The 16,936-nt window shown below is 40.5% G+C and overlaps 1 protein-coding gene across 32 annotated transcripts in view, besides 1 other annotated feature; it reads left to right on the forward strand.

Moving 5' to 3' along the window:
* The window catches only part of TUSC3 (tumor suppressor candidate 3), a 434,904-nt gene that overhangs the window by 113,069 nt on the left and 304,899 nt on the right, over positions 1–16,936 (forward strand). For 27 of the 32 annotated variants that reach the window (NR_182196.1, NR_182195.1, NR_182199.1 and 24 more), the window contains exon 1: positions 10,007–10,312. The exons of 4 other annotated variants lie outside the window; for them this stretch is intronic. Coding sequence is in view for 21 of the 28 variants with exons in the window: in NM_001413685.1 (NP_001400614.1) it covers positions 10,175–10,312 (138 nt within the window). In the remaining 7 variants the exon portion in view is untranslated. Of the gene's footprint in view, positions 1–9,830; positions 10,313–16,936 lie in introns of those variants that run through there. One more of the 32 variants, NM_178234.2, reaches the window with a different exon arrangement.
* Positions 3,521–3,734: a silencer, noted in NCBI's record as "fragment chr8:15391286-15391499 (GRCh37/hg19 assembly coordinates)". NCBI's record gives its function as "represses an EF-1alpha promoter that drives an FKBP-Casp9 reporter gene in an ReSE screen in HepG2 liver carcinoma cells {active_cell/tissue: HepG2}" and the evidence as "EXISTENCE:reporter gene assay evidence [ECO:0000049][PMID:32094911]".

A 16,936-nucleotide genomic window follows, 5' to 3' on the forward strand; every position in this document is an offset into this window, starting at 1 on the left:
CTGTGCATTTTCTCAGATGAGGACTTTGCCTATCATTTCTTTCTTGCCCCTACTCCTGTGTTTACCCTAGTGTCTGGCATAGTGGATAAGTTGATGTGTGAAATTTGGTTAAATATTTCTAGAAAAGCTACTATCATAATGGGAGTTAATATGTAGTATTTATAATGTGTTAGATGCTAAAGACTTCGCATGTATTCACTTGTTTCATCTTCATGGTACCATTATTATCCTCATTTTACAAATAAAGAAACTGAGCACAGAGATGTGAAATAATCTGCCTGAGGTCACACAGCTAGTAAGAGACAGAGCAAGGAATGCAGCTCCAGGGCTCATGCTTCTAAACAGTCTAATGATTAGAGTAGGGATTAAAAAGACAAGTAAATCATAGTTCCTCTATTCAAAGTGTTTATCATTCACCAGGACGGAAACAAACATATTTTCAATGTAATAGTAAATGCTCATAATAACACTAGCACATATTAAGTGTGTATCTATTCTGAGGTTTGTAATAAGTTTTTTATATGTATTGTTTTATTTCATCCTCACAAGAGTCTTCTGACTTTTTAAAATTAGTAAATAAAGATGGTTATGCCCAATGTGAGAAAGAACTGAGCAGCTCCTGACCGTAAACTCAGTCCTTGTGTGTCTGTGTCCTTAATCTTCTTGGCATGTGATGACGAACCTCGGGTGTCACCCCAGAAAACACTGCTTCAGTATGACCTTCTGGGGGCATTCCACTGGAAAAGGGAAGAAAGCCTCAGGTCCGCATGTGTATAACTCCAGTAAACACACTGTGTGTGCTCACCTGCTAGGCACTAGTAGGCCGCTGTGCATGCGGGCAGCTTACCCTAAGGGAAGAATCAAGGGAAAGGAGCTCAAGTTGCCAGAAGTAGGCCAACAAATAAAATCCCAGGTTCAAAGTCAAAGGGGGATTTGACCTCCAAGCTGCCTGCCTGGGCCTCTCCCAGGTGTACTTTCCTTTGCTTTCATTCCTGCTCTAAAGCTATTTATTTATTTATTTAGAGACACAGTCTTGCTCTGTCTCCCAGGCTGGAGTACAATGGTGGTCATTGCAACCTCCATCTCCTGGGTTAAAGCGATTCTCCTGCCTCAGCCTCCCGCATAGCTGGGATTACAGGCACCCGCCACAGTGCCTGGCTAATTTTTGTATTTTTAGTAGAGACAGGGTTTCGCCACGTTGGCCAGGCTGGTCTCGAACTCCTGACCTCAGGTGATCCACCTGCCTCGGCCTCCCAAAGTGCTGGGATTACAGGCGTGAGCCTCTGTGCCCAGCCTAAAGCTTTTTAATAAACGTTCACTCCTGCCTTAAAACTTGCCTTGGTCTCTTCTTCTGCCTTATGCCCCTCAGTTGAATGCCCCTCATCCTTTCTTCTGAGAAGGCAAGAATTGAAGTTGTTGCAGACCTGTATGAATTTGCCACAGGTAACTCAGATAACTTCCACTGTTAATGTATTTTGCTGCTATGTAACTTGGATACCTTCTGCCTGTAACATTTCCTCCATGTTTTCTCAATTATACGGTATACTTACCTTCTGACTGGTGATATTTCCTAGAGATAATCTGGAATTGTACTGACTACTTGGGGAAACTTTGACATTAGAAAGATGTTCATTTGATAGTTACCATCAAAGAAAAAGGAAAGAAACTGTCATGAAATTGTCTTGTCTATAAAAGAAATTATTTTATTTCAGGTAGAAGATGCCACTTCCATTTTGCTTCAGGGTTCAATAATCCCTGGCTTCTTAATTATATGGCTTGATAAAATTGTCAGTGACTTACTCTTTTTTGTGTGTATATATGTCAAATGCACCTAAGTTTTTTTTCTTTTCCTTGCAGATAGGAGATAACTAGCTTAGTATACTGATAATTTAATATTTATCTGAACTTGGCTCCTTTTTACTTACTTTTGCTGTTTCTGTTCCTCTGCCTTTCTTTTTCTGGGACTTGGGAAATTTTAAAGAATAACAGATCAAAAAATTCATTTTCTTGATATACATGAACACTGGGAATAACTAGCATAAACATTCAAATTGTTTAAAAAAAGAAAAATGGTGTGTTTCATTTACTTTACATTTGTGGAGGCTGAGAAGTACCTTATGTAAATCAAAGAAAATGAGGCAAGTCTCAATCATTTTAGGAGGTTTATTTGCCAAAAGTTAAGATAAGCCCTGGAAAGACCATAGATCCACAGGAAAAACTATGGTCCGTGTTTTTCTGAAGACGGTCTGGGATCCTCAATATTTAAAGTAAAAAGGGCAGGTACTGGGGAGAGAGTAAGAAGTTTAAAAAGGGTGTGGGCAGATAAGAGACAAAAGTTTGTATTCTTCTGAGTCTTTGATTAGCTTTTCACAATTTACATGTGAGGGGGTGATATGGTTTGGTTCTGTGTCCCCACCCAAATCTCATCTGTAGCTCCCATAATTACCATTTGTTGTGGGTGGGACCCAGTGGGAGAAAACTGATTCACGGGGGCAGGTCTTTCCTGTGCTGTTCTCATGATAATGAATAAGTCTTATGAGATCTGATGGTTTTTAGAGACAGTTTCGCTCTTGTTGCCCAGGCTGGAGTGCAATGGCACGATCTCCGCTCACTGCAACCTCCACCTCCCAGGTTCTAGAGATTCTCCTGCCTCCACTTCTTGAGTAGCCGGGATTACAGGTGCCTGTCACCATGCCCAGCTAATTTTTGTATTTTTAGTAGAGACAAGGTTTTGCCATGCTGCCCAGGCTGGTCTTGAACTCCTGACCTTGGTGTTCCCCTGCCTTGGCCTCCCAGAGTGCTGGGATTACAGGTATGAGCCACCACGCCCAGACCGATTTGATAGTTTTAAAAATGGGAGTTTCCCTGTACCAGTTCTCTTTCTTTACGTGCCACCATCCACGTAAGATGTGACTTGCTCCTCCTTCTGCCATAATTGTGAGGCCTCCGCAGCCACATGGAACTGTAAGTCCATTAAACCTCTTTTTCTTCCCGGTCTTGGGTATATCTTTATCAGCAGCATGAAAATTGATTAATACAGAGGGGTAGAGGAATAGTCACTTATGCTGTTGTCTAGCTAAGTAAATCTGCATTTTTACATAACCTAAATATAGGGCAGAGGAAGCAATCAGATATCCATTTGTCTCAGGTGAACAGAGGGATGACTTTGAGTTCTGTCCTTTGTCTAATACCTGTGAAGATAGACTATCAATTTATATTGCTAGGGTGAAATTCAACCGAACTGTTTTAGGGTAAAGATCTTAAGGTCTACAAGGAATTTCCCTGTGGACACCTTGTGAGGGAGGTATGTAGCTTTTTATCTTTGTTGCTGTCTTATTTTGGAACTGTAAGAGTTAAAGAAGAGAGAAACATAAAAAGCAGTTCAACAGTAAAAGGTAGGTTGATTTTGGAGAAAAAACCTGAGAGGGGCTTCTGGCCAGCTTCAGTCAGGAGCACTGTCTCTTACAGGCTAAGAGTATTTAAGGTTTCAGGGCGAGAGAAGGCTCTGAATGTTTCTGTGTTGAGAAGTTTACTGAGGGGTTGAAATGTCTCTGGCCAGATGGGAGGTTATCTTGGGGCTGACATCTCTCCAGTCAGTGGGGAGGTTTCTTGGGGCTGGCATGTCTGTGGTCAGGGAGGGGTTTATCTCATGGTTGGAAAGTTTCTGGTTGGAGGTGTCATTTGTGGTTTATGGTGATGGCTGACATTAGCCATTACGCAGATGGCCTTTGGGTTGGATTTAGGCGGTTTTTGATCAAGGGAAACTTTAGAATGGCAGTGCTTGTCCAAGATAGTGATGTTCTTGCTTTGTCAGGATCAACATGAGTGGCAGGTGTGTGACCTAGTTCCCAGTTTGACTTTTCCCTTTGGTTTAGTGAGTTTGGGGCCTCAAGATTTATTTTCCATTCACAGCCTTATTACTATAATTATGAGATAAAATGAAAAGATCTTAGTTGCAAGATAAAATAATAACTTTTGGCATTATTTAAAGAGTCCGTAGAATTTACTTTCATACTATAGAAATAATATCAGCACAATATTTAGGTTTATACAAAACTAGGGTTAAATTTCTCATGGTTAAAATATCTGATAAAAACTTTAGCCGGGCTGGGCGCGGTGACGCACACCTGTAATCCCAGCACTTTGGGAGGCCGAGGCGGGCAGATCACAAGGTCAGAAGATCGAGACCATCCAAACTAACACGGTGAAACCCCGTCTGTACTAAAAATACAAAAAATTAGCCGGGCTTGGTGGTGGGCTCCTGTAGTCCCAGCTACTCGGGAGGCTGAGGCAGGAGAATGGCATGAACCTGGGAGGCGGAGCTTGCCAGTGGCCGAGATCGCGCCACTGCACTCCAGCCTAGGTGACAGAGCGAGACTCGGTCTTTAAAAAAAAAAAAAAAAAAACTTCAGCCAAATTAAATTTAAAGGAGTTTAATTGAGCAATGAACGATTCGTGAATCCAGCAGCCTCCAGAATCACAGCAGATTGACAGAGACCTCAGGGGTGCCTCATGGTCAGAACAAATGTATAGACAAAAAAGGTAAAGTGACGTACAGGAATCAGAAGTGAGGTACATAAACAGTGATTGGTTACAGCTCAGTGTTTGGCTTACTTGAACGCAGTTTGAACATTCAGCAGTCTGTGAGTGGTTGAAGTATGGCCGCTGGGATTGGCCAATACTCAGCTGTTGTTACAGGCATACTATTAAGTTAGGTTTTCAATTTTGTCTATTAAGCTAGGTTACAGTTCATCCACAAGGACTCAAATATAGGAGTATGGAGTCCTTCTCAGGCCATATTATTTTGCTTTAACATTTCTGAAATTGGTTTCATGTGTTAAGTAAATTATCACTGTTTGTATGATAACTTTTTAAAAATATAAAAGCATATTCAAATAAATAGAATGATATATAGCAGGTTAGATTCTGGAAATTAATTCTTGTAAAACCATTGAGACTATATAGTTCTTGGAAGGTCTTTGTGCACTCCAGTTTGAAGGCTTATGTTTTAAAGCAAGGATAAAGAATTTGGGTTAGTCGTAAATCTCTTTCAAGAGTTTGGACCTCCTTTTGAACCTAGTAGAGTGTCACTGACAATCTTTGGAGTAAGGAGAATGACATGATTAGTGCTGTGCTTTAGGGAATAAACAGAATGGGTGGATTCATCTACTCATTCAACAAGTGCTGTATTCTGGATAGTGTGGACTAAAAGGTGCAGAAAACAAAGTTTCTACCGTCCTAGAGCTTACATTCTAATGGGAAAAGACAAACAATTATAGGGCAGAGGAAGCAATCAGATATGCATTTGTGTCAGGTGAACAGGGGGATGACTTTGAGTCAGCTAGTGATGGATGCTATTGAAAAGATAAAGCAAGCGCTATTCTAGACAGTATGAATACATACCCTCTGTCCCATGGAGTTTGCATCCTAACGGGGAAAGACTAGAAATAAATGAAACAATAGCATGTCAGGAAGTGATAGTAGCAGTACTATAAAAAGTTAAGGAGTGTGTGTGTCAAGGGTAAGGAGTTTTAAGAAGGGGAGGTTTGGGAAACTAGGAGATGACGTGTTGGGAGATCAGAGCCTTGACCTGAATAAAGTGATGAAATACACCTCGTGAACATCTATCATGGTCAAACTTGTCCAACTCGTGGCCTGCGGGTTGCATGTAACCCAGGACGGCCTTGAATGCAGCCCAATACAAATTCATAAACTTTTTGAAAACATGAGTTTTTTTGCAACTTTTTTAAAGCTCATCAGCTATCATTAGTGTTTGTAACTGTATTTTATATGTGGCCCACAACACTTCTCCTTCCAGTGTGCCCCAGGGAATACAAAAGATTGGACACCACTGATCTAGGCAAAAAGGGTTCCAACAAAGGGAACAGCAGTACAAAGTGTAGAGACAGAGTCTGCACGGCATATTTGGGAAAGCAAGACAGCTAGCCTTGCTGGAGCAGCATGAGAAAGCAGAGGAAAAATAGGAAATGATGTTAGGAAAGGTTGCCAGGTAGAAGGTAATGTAAAGTCCTGAGGGCATGGAAGATTTTGCATTTGCTGGTGAGGACAGAGATAATACTTTACACTGATTTATGTATTAAAAGGATCACTCCAGACACTTTACCAAGAAAAGAATGCAAGAGGACTGGGCGCAGTGGCTCACGCCTGTAATCCCAGCACTTTGGGATGCCGAGGTGGGTGGATCACCTGAGGTCAGTAGTACGAGACCAGCCTGGACAACATGGTGAAACCCTATCTGTACTGAAAACACAAAAATTAGCCGGGCGTGGTGGCGGGTGCCTATACTCCCAGCTACTCGGGAGGCTGAGGCAGGAGAAGAGCTTGAACCTGGGAGGCGGAGGTTGCAGTGAGCTGAGATTGTGCCACTGCACGCCAGCCTGGGTGACAGAGCAAGATTCCGTCTCAAAAAAAAAAAAAAAAAAAAAAAAAAAAAAAAAAAAAAAAAAAGAATGCAGGAAGGCAGGATTAAGGAGTCTTGCATTATGCCTGTATGGGAGGTTGGTGAGATTTTAAGTGAGGACTAAGCTCTGATTTTCTATCTTGCCCAAATTCCTTCTAAGGTGTCTGGGGAGTCATGCCCTACAAACCATAAATTCTCATCAGATGGATTTTATTTGACCCTGTATATCATGACTTACTTTTCATTCTGACTCTGGCATAATAGTATGAGACAAGGAAAAAAAAATATATCCTTGCCATACCTTGAAATTGCCCTGCAAAGTCTCTTGTGGGAAAAATCCACATTCTATACAGAATCCCCTTTCCCCTTTGTTTTTCTTCCTTTCTTTGCAGATCCAGTAAGATAATCAACTAAGAGCCAGGCACCCTTTTAGGTCTCTTAAGAAACATGTTACAACCTGCTCTCTCTCTCTCTGAAGTCTGTCTGAGAGATTGCTCTGCACAATAAAACTTGGTCTCCATAATCCTTTACCTTAACCTAAACATTCCTTTCCACTGATCCCAGGTTTTCAGATAAACTCCACCAATCGTCAGTCAGAAAATGTTTAATTTTATCCATAGCCTGGAAGCTCCCCTCCACCCCACTTTAAGTCGTCCTGCCTTTCTGAACGAAACCAATGCATTTCTTAAATGTATTTGATTGATGTCTCATGCCTCTCTAAAATATATAAAACCAAGCTGCACCCCGACCACCTCGGGCACATGTTCTCAGGACCTCCTGAGGCTGTGTCACTGGCCAAGGTCACTCATATTTGGCTCAGAATAAATCTCTTCAAACATTTTACAGAGTTTGACTCTTGTCATCAACCTAAGTCAGGGAAGGAGGGTCAACTGATAATGACATCTCATGTGTTTCTAATGAATGCTAGAGTTACAAAATGGGAGACAGAAAACAAATCCCTAGGACCCTGTGGAGGGAGCGTAACTTGGAAACTGAATATAAAGGCAGCATGTTTGGGGAGGATGGGAAAATGGAAGACAGCTTTGAGGCTCTGAAAATTGGTAATTAGAAGGATTGAAGTACCATTGCTTACAATAAAGAAATTACCACAAGTTGGGGAGAGAAAGGGAAAGATGATGAGTTGTGATTATGTTGAGTATATCTAGATGTCAATATTTTACTGATAAAGATAATAAATTTACTTGTCTCCAAACAGACAAAAGTTGAGGCTATTTTTATGTCTCAAGGAAACAGCCAGGAGCCATTGTTTAGGAGTGTTAAAGCAAAAATACGCAAGAGGCAATTAGCCTGGGGTGGTTGTGTAAGTGGAGCTCTTATGTACGCACATAGGAGCTTATCTTGGAAACAGTTCTTGTAACTGACTTATTAAAACCCACCAGCCGCAGGCAATCACAAACAGCCAACAGGATGACTGGTTATACAACTAGGGACCTCCCATCAGACCACAGCCATATAGGTAAATGCCTTATTACACCATGACCAAATAAGGCAAACGTAGCTGTAGCCAATTAGGTAATTTCCTTACTTTGTTTTTATGTTTAGTCTATTGAAGCTTGCTCTCAGGCCACTGGAGCTGAGCTTTCTGAACACTTCTGGTTCAGAGTGCTGCAGATTTATGAATTGTTGTTTGCTGAAATAAGGTGTAAAGTTTATTTTGTCTAAAGTTTTTAACAGGAGTGATAATTCAGGCAAAATGTTCACATAATAGTGGGAAATCAAAAGCTTGCGATACAGAAAAGTGATATATATTTGTAAACTCCTTTAACAAAGGCATCGTAGCATAAGCATGACTGTAGAGCCAGACTGTCAATGTTCAAATTTTTTCTGGGCCTTAATTTCTTTATCTGAAAATCGTTAACAGTGGAACCTAGTTGATAGGGTTGTTGTGGAGCAAGCGTTCTTAATCTGGAGTCCATGAAATTTCAGCATCTGTGAACTTTGTATTGAAAAAATCGTAACTTTATGTCTATTAACCTCACAACAGTTTCGTTTCTTTGAATTATAAAGGCAGGCAACAAACCACAGTAGTATTATCAGTACCTACAACTTTGTTTCCTACAGAAATTATTTTCATACTCAGTAAGTTGTTGCAGATATCTTGAACAATTATACGTATATATTCCTTAAGTATTATATATATAATATTTTTATATTCTGTATATATTTTTGGAGACAGGGTTTTGCTCTGTCTCCCAGGCTGGAGTGCTGTAGCATGATCGGAACTCACTGTAACCTCAAACTCCTGGGCTCTAGTGATCCTTCCAGCCTCAGTCTTGGAATAGCTAGGACTACAAGTACTCCCCACCATACCCAGCTGTTAATTTTTTTTTTTTTCGTAAAGACAAGGTCTCACTATCTTGCCCAGGCTGCTCTCCAACTCTTGGACACAAGCCTCCTGCATAGGTCTCCCAAAGCATTGGGTTTACAGGTGTGAGCCACCGTGCCTGGCTAATACTATGTATTTAATTTCATGCGTTTAGAAATATGTGCTATTTTAAGAAGGCGTCTACAGGTTTTATCACATTACCAAAGGTGTTCATGGCACAAGTGAAGAAATCTCTAGATACTAGAGTAATAAAAACCATGATGCATTAGAACGGATCAGGCCCATATCAAACGTTCAACATACAGTCTGCTGCTATGGTTCTTTTTTTTTTTTTTTTTTTTTTTTTGAGACAGAGTCTCATTCTGTCTCCCAGGCTGGAGTGCAGTGGAGTGATCTCGGCTCACTGCAACCTCTGCCTCCCGGGTTTATGCCATTCTCCTGCCTCAGCCTCCCAAGTAGAGGAACTGCAAGGCGCTCCACCATGCCCGGCTACTTTTTGTATTTTTAGTAGAAATGGGGTTTCCCCATGTTACGGCAGGCTGGTCTTGAACTCCTGACCTCAGGTGAGCCACCTGCCTCAGCCTCCCAAAGTGCTGGGATTACAGGCATGAGCCACCATGTCCAGTCTGCTATGGTTCTTAAAATATTCATAGAATAGAAATTGAAGTAAGTCTATTCGTTTTTATATTAAAAGTAGCTAGTACGGTGCTCTGTACTTATGCACTCCATGGATGCTGAATGAGTCATTGAATGAAGTGGAGTCTAGGTTGTGCCTCAGGCCTTCCAGTGGGGCTGGAAGGAACAGTTGTGAAGTTGTGGGGCGGCTTCTGTGCATCGGGGGACTCTGGAGTTAGATGGTTTCCCAGGGCTCTGAAGGAGAAGAGCTGTGTTCCTAATAATGATCTCAATGGGAATAGAGATTGCTGGGGACCGCAGGGGCCAGGTTGTCATTCCCCAAAGCTTCCCCTTCATCATCCAAGAAGGCATTCAGGTCTTTCTGTGCTAGGCCCCAGGTAAAGTGCTGGACTACCCAGTAATTGGGTTCAGTAGCAGGATGGCCTCAGATTGAGGTCCCAGGGCCAAAGGACCACTCCTCTCCTCAGCGCTGGTCCGGGAAAGGCAAGCTCCGGGCGGGAGCGCACGCCGCGCCCCCGAAGCCTGGCTCCCTCGCCACGCCCACTTCCTGCCCCCATCCCGCGCCTTTCCAGGTCTTCTCCCGGTGAACCGGATGCTCTGTCAGTCTCCTCCTCTGCGTCCTCGGCCGCGGCCCGGGTCCCTCGCAAAGCCGCTGCCATCCCGGAGGGCCCAGCCAGCGGGCTCCCGGAGGCTGGCCGGGCAGGCGTGGTGCGCGGTAGGAGCTGGGCGCGCACGGCTACCGCGCGTGGAGGAGACACTGCCCTGCCGCGATGGGGGCCCGGGGCGCTCCTTCACGCCGTAGGCAAGCGGGGCGGCGGCTGCGGTACCTGCCCACCGGGAGCTTTCCCTTCCTTCTCCTGCTGCTGCTGCTCTGCATCCAGCTCGGGGGAGGACAGAAGAAAAAGGAGGTAGAATGGATCCCCTTGGCCTTCCCCTGTGGGCGGGGGCGGGCCAGGGTGGGCCGCGTTGCCAGGCAGCCCTGCCGTGTTGCTAGGCAGCCTGGTCGCCGGCGTGGGCGATGCCGGCGCTGGGGCGGGAGCCGCGAGGGTGGGAGGCCCTGGGGCGTTTCCGGGACGTGGAGTTAGCAGGGTTCTGACTTGAAAAACGACGGCAAAGCGTGTTCTTGACTGCTTCTGAGCACCTCACACCTTTCAGACCCAGGGCGCCTTTATTCCCAGCTGGAAGCCCAGCTTAGAGCAATGGTGCCACTAAAAGGGGTGTGTTGGATGTGAAAATACCCTTTGGAAGTATTTATAAGCCTGCAGGAAATATGTTTTCCTTATTTTCTTACTCTGCTCCCTTCATTACCCATTTCAAGAAGCAACAGAACCTGTGCAGAGTGTGTTTTAAGTTACACTGTATGTTTATTTTTGTTTATGTTGAACTCGGTGTATACTTGTGAGAATAAGCTTGCATTTTTTATTTTGTGCAAGTACAACAGAACATATTGAGAGTGTGTTTTAAGTTATCCTGTATGTTTACTTTACGTTGAACTCAGTGTATACTTGTGAAAATAACCTGCCATTTATTTTATGTGGATTTATTTCTGAAGTTCATTCAATCTGATTTCAATCTTAATCCACCATTAACTTTGAAAAGGTTGAGATTTGAAGTGACTGGTTGTATTTAAAGTAGGTGGAGTGTTTGTAAGTTCTAATTATCCATCATGGATAGTTGATCTAGCTGCTTCAGCAAAAATAGTTATTTCGGGAATGTGACTAGGGTTTCTAATTGTGGACCATTTTGGTGAGAGTTATCTGCTTACATAATTGAAGATAGTTTTTCCTGGTTAAGTTGTACACCTACACAGGGCTCAAAATCTGAATTGGGTTTAAGATATTAACAAAATTTTAATAGCTGGGTAGAGACAGTGAAAAAATACCCTCATATGCAGAGTGATTGTTTCCCTTTCTCTTTATTCTTAGTCTGAAACAAATATTGTGTGTTCAATTTTAACTAATGTACCTCTCTTCAGCTTTTAAATTTTAACATGAAAGTAGGTCATATGAAATTATTGGTGAAGTTCTGCTAAGGGATTTAGAGAACCACTGTTAAACTGAAATTGTATTTACAAATATAAATTAATGATTTTTTTTAGCACTTGGTATTTGTATACCATATTCCAAGAGTTTTAGATTTAGGAGTTCACGAGAAAGGTAGAAGAGTGAAGAAAAAGTAGACAGTTTTTTTTGTGGATTACCAAAGCAAAGGGCAATAAAAGATGATGAAGAACTCCATGGAAATTGTGATGTTTTATCTCCTAGGACGATCCCTAGGACCACGCCAATTTTCATTTGAAGGGTGTGAACCCCAAAGTATTTTAAGACTGACCTTAATCAATTTTTTTTTTTTTGCCAGTGTTAAGGATGCACTGGTGACACAGCCTCTGGAGGTCCTGATGGCAGGTGCCCAAGGTGGTCAGGGTACAGCTGGCTTTTATACATTTTAGAGAGACATAATACATTGATCAATACATGTAAGGTCTACATTGGTTTGATCTGGAAGGGTGGGACAACTCAAAGGGGGAGGGGCATCCAGGTCATAGGTAGATTTAAAAATTTTCTGATTGGCAATTGGTTGAAAGAATTGTTATTAATAGAAAGGAATGTGGAGACCATGGTTTTATTAGCCAGATGAAGCCTCCAGGTGGCAGACTTCAGAGAGAATAGATTGTAAATGTTTCTTATCAGACCTAAGGTCTGTGTTGATGTTAATGCTGGTTGGCTTTTCCAGAATTCCAAGAAGAAGGAGGGTATAATGAGCATGTCTGGCTCACTTTTCCCATCGTCGCCTGAAGTGGTTTTTCAGGTTAGCTTTGGGATATGCCCTCGGTGGAGAAGAGGGGCCCTTTCAGATGGCTGGGGCAGAGGTCGGAGGGTGCTTACATTTTTGTTTTTCGTTTACAAGGGGAAAAAAAAAATCTAAAAAGTGTACATGTTTACAGCATCTGAGTATCTCCAATAATAAGATGACTTTAATATGTGAAAACATTTGTGGATTTAGTATAATTAAATCTAAATTACAGCAACATGTTTCTATTAAAATTTTTTCTCGAAATATATTTTTGAAATGAAAAATTAGGGAGAACATTGTTGAGGATTAAAAAAGTTTTTCTTGCAAATTAGTTTTATTTCTCCTAAGTAGGAGCACTTGATTTCACTGTATGACAGTATTACAGTGTATGTATATTTTACTGAAGAAAAGAAGAGCAAAATAAGAGCTTAAATAGTTGATGTTTTCAAGACTGTACTTTCAGGGATCATTTCTATAGTTTGTTAAATACTTGGTGTTCTGATACTTTACTCAATAAGCATGCGTATCTCTGAAATACAGGCCATTCCGTATCTGGTACTCACTAAGTTCACAAACTGTGATCTCTTCCAATATTGGAAGGGAAACACGCTATATTGGAAAGTGTGGTCACCAATGTGGTATTTTCCTAGTGATAGCCCAGGGTTATTTTGACAGTATGTGGTCTCTTTCTGTCTAGCTGACTTTAAAACCTGATGCCTATGATAAGATTTGGCACAATGGAACCTGGAAGTGTAGCAGTTGAAAGTTAATTTACTATTAATATAATAAATATTATTGACATATGTACCAGAGTAGTTGATTTAGCATGAACAGTGTTTTTCTTCCTTCTAGAGGGGAAGCCAAACTGAAGTCTTAAGTTGAGCCTGCAATCAGGAAAGGACATTAGTTGATTTAAAGGAAGTAATATTTAGTAGTTATGACAGTAATACCACCATGGATGGATTTTTAAGTCAGACAGATAGATGGTCAAGTTACAATTCAGCCTCTAATTTTATGACATCAGGCAAACGACAAACTCTCTGCATTTTAGTTTGCTTGCTTTAAAATATAAATATAATACCCATATCTCAGGTATTATGTATACATGTATGTAACATGTAAAATATATAACTATATGTATATAAAGACTGTATATAAAATGCTTAGTGCAATGCGTAGGATATAATAAATGGTCACTAAGTGGTAGCTGTTACTATGTATTCCTCATTTAAATGAAAGCATTAGTGTAATGAGATCCTGAAATGCGGTAAGATTTTTTTGAATTGGTTTTTTTTTTTTGCTAAAGAAACTAACTTTATAATAATAAATTATATGGTCTGTGGAATAGTCTATTGCTTATCATGAAACACCGAGAATTCCAAATTCTCTTACGTTGTTTGAAAATTTCCCAGGAAGAGATTTGGTATCATAGAAGACTTGGTGATATCCCATGGATTTGTGTGTGTGTGTGTGTGTGTGTGTATGTATTATGTATATGTTTGTACACATACACATATGCTTCTTCGTGAAGACATTTTCATTCATTAAAAACAATGTTTTGTTATATTCCCTGTTGGAGAATGTGGTTGAGAGAGTTAAGTGAATAGGCAAAGAAGATTGGAAATTTGTATAGTCACTTTTCTTAATTACATTGAATATAGTCATTAAAAACTGATTTTTGAATCCTCACTGATGTTAAGTGATGTGAGTTTCTGGGAGACTTTGGCTTTTTAGTAGTGTATCATTTGCCTATCTAGTGCATCTTGTGTTTCTTTTATTTTGACAGTTTCTCTCTTTCTAACTTCATTAACACTTATCAGTTAATCAGCTTCATTTAGAATTGTTTTAATTTATAATGACCTCTTCTGATAATGTGAAAAGAGCTCCAATTCTGTAATTATTTCCAGTACACTTATTGACTTTGCCATCATCAAAAGCAGCTGTTATAATAATTAATTTATCTTATCTGCAATGAATGTGAGTAGCTAATAGGCCATGATATGTAGGTAATAATGAATATGCAATATGAAAAATTGAAGAGCTCATGTTTTCTAAGCGATCAATTGTTTGACTAAATAAAACATATTTCAATTGCCTTTGACATAACTTCTATATGTCATTAATGTTTTTAAGTACATTTTATATTGGGATGTATAATATCCAGTTAGTTTTCGTGGCACAGCTGTGAAACAGAGACTTTACTATCTTAGCAAATGATAAAAGGGGAGAGGAGGGAGGTAAGCAATGGATGTTACCTTTAAGCAGAGAACTTAAGTGGAAGAAAAAGTTTGCAGTGATAACACAGGAAATCATGGTAGTTATGCATTGATATGTACGCATATATGCACAGAATATATAGGTGCAGGCAATGTGATTTCACTTAGGTTAGATTGTATGTATGACCACCCCTTGAAGCGTGATTGGAAATAGCCAAAGCTGCTTGTCAGGAATGCCATAGTGTCATGGATGATGGCAGAAGACATGGGATTCTTGTGTCACAGATGAAGGATAGTTTATTATAGCAATAGAATGGTCTTTATGTACATATGGTTCTATATTTTACATGTTACATACGTATTATGTGTTACACACATGTATACATAATACCTAAGATGTAGGTGTTATATTTTAAAACAAGGAAATTAAAATTCAGAGAGTTTGTCATATGCCTGATGTCGTACAGTTAGAGGCTGAGTTATAACTGGACCATCTATCTTGGTGGTCAGTATTACTGTCATAACTATTAAATATTTCTTCCTTGAAAGCAACTAATGTCCACAGCAATAGATAGTTTATTACCCAGCATTTGTACTGGTTCCTTGAGCTTCAGTTCACATTGAGCAACATGAGGGGGTCTAGGTGATGCCCACTCATGTAGTGAATTACACTGCAGGAGAGGAACCTTGCATTTAAGAAACCAAGGTCTTTAAAAATGGGCAGTACACTTCTTTGACCTCTTCTCTAAAGGGAGACATTATCTTTATTAAACTCAAAAGTAAACACTCATTTTTCTGGAGGGGGACTCTGTCTTCTTTGACTATGTGCTATATGCAAATATCCTTGAAAAGATGGTCCAGAACAAGTCAGTCAGTCCCTGCATTAGCAAGTTGTGTTAGAAACCCATGAGGAATTGTCTGTCCACGTAAGAGATAGGAGCTTGGTCAAAAGAGAACATTTTCAGGGTATTTTTCTCCACATGCACCACCAGCATGTTTAGTCCCATATATGTGCCCTCTTCCACACATAGGGCACAGAGAAGGGGAAAGAGTGGAAACATAACTCAAGCTAAAGAGTAATCAACTCTTAACCTTTTGCTGCATTTACTTTTTCATTATTTCCCTCTTTAGCCCTACATATTCATCGATTTTAGATGTGAGTGTGGTCTGTTATGCCTGTGACTGCTGTAGATTATTTCAGTGATCTTCAGCGTTTATTTGGCATGTCAGACTATCTCAGACTATCAGATATCTCTGATATTTGGCATATCAGACTATAAATTGCTCATCTCCATAAGAATTCCTCCTGGAGTATCATGCTAATCCTACCAGGATAGAAAATTTACTTTTGGTTAAGTGTAGGAATAATGTGTTCCCCAGCTGGAAAACAAGTACATAAACAAAGGTTTATTTGTTATATAACAGTGTGTGTATGCACATATTTGCATGTGTGTATGTGTGTAACAAATGGATATTTCTCCTGGTCTCTATCCAGTCTTTATTTCTATCTTTTGGGCAAGATTTCTGCAGCTTCTCAAACTGAGCATGTCTGAAAGGGAACTCTTGATCCTTCCTTCGCCACATCTGGCCCATGTGTTTTCTCATTGCTGTTTTATGGAAAACAAATTTTAACATTCTGGCACATCAGTTTTTATCTAATCACTTGCCGGTATAATACAGCTTTGTAGTTCTTACCCTGTATTTTGCAGATAGTACACAGGGATGCTGGCTTCACATAATTTCTTGGGGAGTTGTACATGGACTATTTTACAAGAAGTATTACTGTTTTTTTTACATAGATAAGTAAGACATATATAAATAGATTGAATATTAAGGCTTCAAAGATGTTATTCAGAAGAATAATTTTTTCTTTTTTCTTTTGGGAGACAGAGTTTTGCTCTTGTTGCCCAGGCTGGAGTGCAATGGCGCAAACTTGGCTCACTGCAACCTCTGCCTCCTGGGTTCAAGCAATCCCCCTGCCTCAGCCTCCCGAGTAGCTGGGATTACAGGCATACGCCACCATGCCTGGCTAATTTCGTATTTTTAGTAGAGACAGGGTTTCTCCATGTTGGTCAGGCTGGTCTGTAACTCCCGACCTCAGGTGATCTGCCCGTCTCGGCCTCCCCAAAGTGCTGGGATTACAGGCATGAGCCACTGCACCTGGCCTAGAAGAATAATTTTTTTCATGGTAGTTGGTATCTGTTTGCCTGCCTGCCTGCCTGCCTCCCAGTTGGCCTGTCTCTATTTCTTTTTAATGTTGGAAGGCACAAGGTCAACAGTAAGTTTAGAGAGTGATTTGAAATCTGTTATAAAAGTCTAAGATAGAATAGCATCTTGTTGTCATTTAATGAACAGAAAAAAGTTAAAAATATAGTGAATTATTTATGGTATATTTATTATTATTAAAATTTTGGTTAATCATGTAAAGATACCTACCAAGTTTGATATTTGAAGGTGAAAAATAAATTTTCTTTCCCCTTGATGTTACCATGAGAACTCAAGTACCTATAATGTAATGGAAAG

Source organism: Homo sapiens, chromosome 8 (assembly GCF_000001405.40).
Source record: "Homo sapiens chromosome 8, GRCh38.p14 Primary Assembly".
Classification (NCBI taxonomy): Eukaryota; Metazoa; Chordata; class Mammalia; order Primates; family Hominidae; genus Homo; species Homo sapiens.